This window comes from Homo sapiens, chromosome 9 (assembly GCF_000001405.40).
Source record: "Homo sapiens chromosome 9, GRCh38.p14 Primary Assembly".
NCBI classification, from domain to species: domain Eukaryota; kingdom Metazoa; phylum Chordata; class Mammalia; order Primates; family Hominidae; genus Homo; species Homo sapiens.
The window spans coordinates 37,241,339-37,248,945 of NC_000009.12; the positions used below are offsets into that span (position 1 = coordinate 37,241,339).

Below are 7,607 nucleotides of genomic sequence, written 5' to 3' on the forward strand. Positions count from 1 at the left end.
CTAGTAAAATTTATGTATTCTTAGTTCCAAGTAGTGGAATTTTATACATTTTATAATGCCATAGCAAAGCACGATTGGAAATGAGAAGTGCTGTCTCTTAGAAGTTCTCTCATATTTCAGCTAAAACATACTCAGCAAAAAAGATATGTAAATTAAAAGAAAATCTCCAATTTCCTATTCTGAGTAAAGCTTTGATTTTTGCTGATTCAGGAAGTAAGGTTGACATTGGAGCTTCTCATTTCATCTGGAATAATCACTTTTTCCTTTTGAAAAGTCTTTCATTTTAGCAGCAGTATCTTCTAAAACACTCCATTTTGCATGGATGAACCTGTTTTTCTCTAGATAACACAGAAAATACAACTATCATAAATGGTAACCTGCTTTCTATAGTATAGCTTTCCTGAGTGCCCAGTGAGATACTAAAGTGCCAGGCTGTTCATTCTGGAGATTTCACTGATTTTTCTAGCTGCATCCCTATTCTAACCCCCCAAATAACTCCCAAAAGAGGAATTTTATAACTTCCAAATTGACTGCTGTAATAAAATGTTTATCCCCTAAGTCAGTAGTGGCTCATCAGCTTAGGATCATTCAGAATATATAATTCCAGTTCTTCTTGAAACATTGCACCATTTTTTTCTGTTAAAATAGGTTTTGGTTTATCTTAGTGATGCTGATATTTTCTCAGATTTTCCATTAGTATTTTTTCTCCCATCTGAATAATAATCTGAATAAATAATGAACTGGCTTTTGTTATAGGGGTAGGTGCATAGAGCATCCAATAGCATTCCAAATATTTGGCTGCCAAATAAGGAAATCATAACTGCTTATTTGTATTAAATTAGTATTAAATAAAATGATTAACATTTTAAAATGTTTTGGTATAATCTACATGCAATCCGTTAAAATTTCCAAACTAATGTCAGATTCTTTATTGCTTGGCTTTCTGCCAAATGATGTTCAAAGGAAATTGAGTTTTTCTCTAGCATCTAAGGTAAATGGAAATGTATGTGATGTTTAGCTTTGACTAGAGAGTTACAAATGGATCCATGGAGTTTTGGTTATATAATTTATATGCTATATGTATGAGGGCACTTCCTTGCTTCCCATGATACTTGGGATGGTGCTGTCAGTGGAGCAAATGTATGCTTATGCCATCTTGTCCATAATATGTATTTCTGTTGCTATTTGAACTATTAATGCTATGTAATACCAAGTACTTATATCAGAAATTTGTACTCTATGTAGATAGTGCTTTTGAACTTCTTTCTGATAGTACATATTCCTGTATTAATACAATAAAGCCAAGCTGACAGGATGACATAGTGAAGCTCTTATTAAAAATGTGTTCTAATTGTTGCTGAGATACTATTGGAAATCTAGAGCTTGCTGCCTCAAGTTATTTTAAATTGTGTATTTTATATTTACATTTTACATTTACATATTTTATCTATTAAGAATTGCTTTTAAATTAAAAGCTTTACATACGCTTAAACAAAAGTATGAAAGTATATTTGAACTTCAGGAAGCAATTCTTTGTATCAGCACCCTGAATGGTTTTGTATTAAGGAAAGCCAGATTCAGTGACAAGTTTGACCCTCACATCTGGAATTGCCATTAGAGAAAAGCAATCATCTGAGTCATATGTGTATACTTACCTATGACATAAGAAGCACATTTATTTTTCTTCTTTTTTTAAAAGCATATTTCTTTCATTTTAGAAAACCAAAATGCCCAGATTATTATGATTAACATTTAAGTTTTTTGGCTAAAACATAGTTAAGAATTATGGCAGGAAATACAGAATTATTTCTGAGCAAAGTTTATGACATCCAAATTAATACAGCTTTTAAAGGAATCGATGGATAAGCCATTTGAAATTTATATATATTTGTTTTATGTTGATGTCATAGATCTACCGTGTAAAATTTAAACATTATGAAAACAGATTTTAAATATTTAGTAAAGCCTTCTCTGGAAAATGCTAAACCTTTGTTTTAAAATTATATCTGTAGATATCTGGTCACTAATACTGTGAAATTATTTCAGCATTGAGTATTGCCGGCTACAAGTGCTTTGGAAACTCTTTAGCTGTTCATTTTTGGCAAAATCTTACTTTTTGAAAAGACCTTATTTTAGAGGAGATATCAATATTGCTTTCTCAGTTTTTCAAACTACCATTTTGTAATTTATTAGTAAATTGTAAGTGCCACAGAAACCACTGTGCAGTATTCAAGGTCCTTGCATTCAGGGTTAAAACTGAGTTTATATACACACATACTAAACTCTTACAAAGCCAGGGAACAACTATTCAAACTGCACTGTGGACTATGCTAGAGGAGTTAGCATGCTTTCTTTGCAGACATGGTTGATTTGAATACAACAACAAAAAATTGTCCAGACTGCCAACTGAAACCCTTGAAAACACTTTTCAATCTGTAGATACAACTGTATCAGCAAAATGTTGATCAAAGTTCAAGTGGAAACATTAACTAGTCTAGCTAGCCTTCTGGTGTTTTCATTGGTTAATTCACAAAGAGCATCGCACAGTGGATTTTTACGTAGTAGTAACAATTTGCTGTAAAATTGTATGGTCTGAGGATATGACCGTAGAGTTTGTCTTCTGTGTCTCCAAACTTACTATCCTGTACATCTTGACTCATTTTATTCATTTTTCACTTCATTAAACAATAAGGATTTACCTTAAATTAAGCATTTTTTTGGTATGTTTATTGTCTCCTAGTGGTCCTTTGTAATGCCATATGGTTGCTGCCCAGCTCGACTTACAAACTTACTCTTTTTGCTTCTCATACTAGCCATTTTGCAAGCCTGAGCTGCTTTGTGGTACAGGTCAAGTACTTATGGAGTAAAGTTAAGTGAATTTTTATTGTGCAGGAATGTCTTCGTTTAAAGAAAAAAAAAAAAAGAAAGAAAGAAGAAAAAGACTGCCCCAGCCCTTGTTTTTTAAATAGAAACATTTTTTATTTTAGAGCAACTTGGATTTCCTACTGAATATACCATAGTATAGTGAGGGTTATATTTTGTTTTAGGCAGAATGGTTTTTAAAATAGCCCAATTAATTACATAAATGGAAGTTAATTTATTTTATAAAACAGTTTATTTTAAAATAGCTTATCCATATGAGTTATTTAAAAGGGAACTAACTCTTAATGTTTTTAAATATGATTTGATTTATAATAAACTTCCTGGAAGTGAGGGAGGCCTTTAATCTTCATGTATTAAGAGAGGGTGAATAATAATGAATTATTTTTGCCAAGACAGTTTTTTCCTGTTAAAACCCAAGTAATCCTGCCATTTTCACATTTTTCCTTTTGTTCTAAAAAGAAGTGGTAAATGTTTTGCACTGTTTGTTGGCTATGGCTGTGTCATGAGGGTTCTACCATGATTGATCAGTGAGGGCCACTGTGTATTTTTCATATATATTCACTGTGGAATAGAATCCAGTGTTGAATTTTTTTTTAAGTCAGTAGTGAAGAATGGTGGAGAGCATTTGTTCCATTGAATAATTTATAATAGCTAATTTCCCCATAAGAAGCCTACCAAAACATGATAGATATATCTCACTTGGAAGAAAAGTTGTCTGTAAAGTGAATCAAATCCTATTTTAATATATCATATGAGTATATAAACCCCTTTTTCTCACTGATTTTATGGGATCAAAGTGGAAATTATTCTTGTAGAAAATGACTTGGTTTTTAAGACAAATCAAATTTTTAGAAAAGACTGATTTTCAAATACAGTAATATGTATGTCAGATTCTGAGTGCAAAGTAGATAAATATTTTAGATAGATAAAATTTTATATTTGGCATAAATTGAGTAACTTTAAAGATAAACTTTATTTTTTATTTTTATGTTTTGAACACAGTTATAGTCAGTAGTTTCAGATTTTCATCCTCTCCTTGAAATGTTTCAATAGAAAGGATATGTAACTCTTCTTTAATGTTCAATATTCTAGTACTTTAAAGAAGAAGCTATTTTTAAAAATTAAAAGACTGAAATAAAAGAAAGGAATTTCCATTTAAACAGTTGAAATTGTGATTTTAAAATATACTAGCAAATTATTAGATAAGCAAATAATTTCTTAGAAGCCATATAACAGTAAACTAAATTCAATCCAACAAACTATTGTTGAGCACCTACCTGTGCAGAGTGGACAATGTTAAGCAGTAGAAATGTGTTATTGCCTAAGAGTAACTAGTTCGTAGCCTAAGAGAGAGTCAGACACATAAATGGATACTTACAATACAAAGTGTAAGTACCTTGATAGATGAAAATATAGGACATCATGGGGACGTCTAGGACTCTGAATTCACTTTTGGGAAATCAGGTAAGACTTCTTTACTCCAAGACTTCTTTCCTCCAGAAGTCTTATCTGATTTCCCAAAACTGAATTAGGACCTGAAGAATAATTAAAATAAGCTAAACAGAGGAAGGCCTGGAAGAGAGAGAGTGTTGTTGCAGGTTCAGAGAATAGCAGGTATATAGCCCTATTGCTATTGCTTAAGAGATTTATGTATAATTTGGTGTGGCTGGACCATAGGTTTTAAAGGTAATGGAGAATAGTGAGACATTAGTCTGGATTGGTAAAGTGAGACCAGATTATGAAGGGATTTATAAGAACGATCAGAAAAATCAAGAATATCTCAAAGATATTTTTAGTAAGATAGTGACAGGATCATATTTACAATTTACAAGTCAGTTTGGCAGAAGGCAAAGAATAGCAGGGGTTGGGCAGATGATGGCAAGATCAAACTTAAAGAGACTGATTCCTTTCTAAAATAGATGAGAGGTCATGGTACTGTTCTTCTGGATAGTGAATACTAGAGGAGAATCAAGTTTGAAAGTGGACAAATAATAGTTTGTTTTTAACATTTGATTTGAGGTGCTTGTGGATGATCTAATTTGAGGTGTCCAGAAAGGAACTGGATATATGAATATAGAGCCAAGCTCAAGAGAGAATGAAGCTAGATATATAGATTAGGAAGGTAATCAGCATGAGAATGTTAACTGAACCCACAGGAGTCCACAAGGGTCTTCAGGGCTCTCCATCTTTAGCATCAGCGTATGATAATGATTTTGTTACCTAATTCATTATGTTTCAAATGTGAATGCATTGTGAAATATTTAATGTACTATACCAGTATAGGATATTATAAACTATAATGAAGAGTGCATTTACTAAACACATTGCTATAAAACTGGTGTAGTAAACTCTGGGCCAGTGTGGACCATCATTTGGGGCAGGAAAAAGAATCATGTATTTTTTCCCCTTTTCTAAATTGACATATTAAAAGTTGTACGTATTTAACATGTACAACATGATGTTTTGAAATATGTGCAGTTGGCTCTCGGTATCTACAGATTCAACTAACCATGGGTGGAAAATATATTTGCAAGTCAACTTTTTGTATCGATGGGTTCTACAGGACTGATTGCAGGAGCATCCATAGATTTTGGTAGCTGAGGCATCTTGGAACCTTGGAACCTCTGGATACTGTGGGACGACTGTATATATTGTGAAATGGCTAAATTGAGATGATTACCATATGTATTACCTCACATACCTGTTTTTTGTGATGAGAACACTTAAAACCTACTCTCTTAGCAATTTTTAAGAATACAGTGTATCGTTAACTGTACTCACCATGTTGTACAACAGATATCTTTAACTTATTCTTCCTATCTAACTGAAATTTTGTTATCTTTGACAGATACCTCCCCAACCCCCTCTCCACCAAACTCCTGGTAACCACCATTTTATTCTCTACTTCTGTGAGTTCAAATTTTTTAGATAACGTATATAAGTGGACATAAATGTACTTTGTGGATTTTTATATTCTGTCACTTAGCCTTTCACACCTCACTTCACAGCTTTGTGAAGGAGAGGTAGGTATTTTTATTGCTGTTTCCAGTTTAAAAATGTAGTGATATCAAGTAACTTTCCTGAAGTCTCTTGTTGCTCACTGTTGAGTGACAAAATAAAACTTTGAAGAGGGACCTGGGTAGAGAGAGAAATGAGCAAAAAACCATTTCAATGAGAGATCAGTGACCTTACTGCATTTAAGTGTTCTTAGACAGGAATTACACCATTTTTCAAATGTATTGTTTATTTAAAACTTGAATACCCCATCTGTAACTCTGTTCTAGGTGATGTGGTATCAGTACCAGAATGTTGTACTGTTTCTGAAAATTATTTTCAGTATAGCAGTTAAGGACATTAAGGCTTCAAAGCCATTGGTCCAGTTTTGATAAGAAATGAAGTTGGAAGTTGGGTGTAGTGGCTCACACCTTTAATTTCAGCACTTTGGGAAGGGCCAAGGTAGGAGAATTGCATTAGCCCAGGAGTTTGAAACCAGCCTGGGCAACACAGGGAGACCCCATCTCTAGAAAAATAAAAAATAAAAACAATTAGCTGGGCATGGTGGCATGTGCCTATAGTCCCAACTAAGTAGTTCTCTGCTAAGCCCGGGAAGTCAAGGCTGCAGTGAGCCATGATTGCACCACTGTGTTCTAGCCTGGAAGACAAAGTGAGACCCTGTCTCAAAAAAAGTAAAAGTAAAAATAATAATAATAATAATAATAAAGCTGGAAATCAAGGATATATTTTCATCATCTCTTCACTTGACACCAAGACAAGTCACAAACCTGAAGAGTATTGCCTATTTATTCCTATTTATTAGAAAACAAAAAAAAAGTTGTTTTTCAACTCTTTTATCTAGGTATGAATGTGTTAAAAATTATTTTTAGTGTTTTATATATAAGCCAGCATAAATGATAGTAGAATACATTTGTATAATGCTTTAATATTTACATACTTTGACATATTTTCTCATACAACCCTTACAGTTCTCAGAGGAGGTAGTCAGAACAGGTATTAACCTAATTTTATTTTTGAACAAACAGGTTCAGAAGGTAAAGTCAGTTTGTTTCAGAGCTAGAACTTTTCCTATTATACCACCCTGCTTCTAGATGTGCAATCTGTTTAAGAATTAAAGTAATTTAAAATGGTAAATTAAAATGATGTTATTGCAGTTATTTTAATTTCCTGCCTGGAGCGTTTCAGTAGTAGTGGTTCCTGTATTATCTGGGAAGTTAAACCAAATGTTCTTTTATACTCTTTTAGACTCTACAACTTCAGTTAATCCAGATTTCCTACCCAATAACATTGTTTGGGAGCCAGGGATCTCTGGTTGCCCAACCCTTCTAAGTACTTAGAAGCTCTTAGAAAGAATGTTCAGTGAAAGGCAGTGAAAAGGCCTGTTTTGGATACCTACTGCCTATAGCTGAAACCTGTTAGGTGCCTTCATGTGAATCCCTGAAGACACCATGATGAAATTGATAAGCATGTCATAATTCAAGTAAAAACTTATTATGAGTGCTAGATGATAGCCATATACTGAATACTTTCCTGATTTTACTGCTTTTGCCATTGCTCATCTATCTGTAGCTGGAATGCTTTGTCTCATATCAGACTGCCAGAACTAAATTCCACCAGCCTTCAAAGCCAGCCCAACTGATAACTATTTTTGTAAAGCTTTCCCTACTTACTCTAACAAGTAATGATGTAAAATTCTTAGAACAATCTGT

At 33.2% G+C, this 7,607-nt stretch overlaps 1 protein-coding gene across 19 annotated transcripts in view; it reads left to right on the forward strand.

Annotated features, from left to right (window-relative positions):
* Nucleotides 1-7,607, forward strand: part of ZCCHC7 (zinc finger CCHC-type containing 7) — a 237,983-nt gene that overhangs the window by 121,172 nt on the left and 109,204 nt on the right. The window contains exon 2 of one of the 19 annotated variants that reach the window (XM_011518051.3): nucleotides 5,732-5,792. The exons of the other annotated variants lie outside the window; for them this stretch is intronic. The gene's annotated coding sequence lies outside the window, so the exon portion shown is untranslated. The remainder of the gene's footprint in view (nucleotides 1-5,731; nucleotides 5,793-7,607) is intronic. 19 annotated transcript variants of the gene reach the window in all.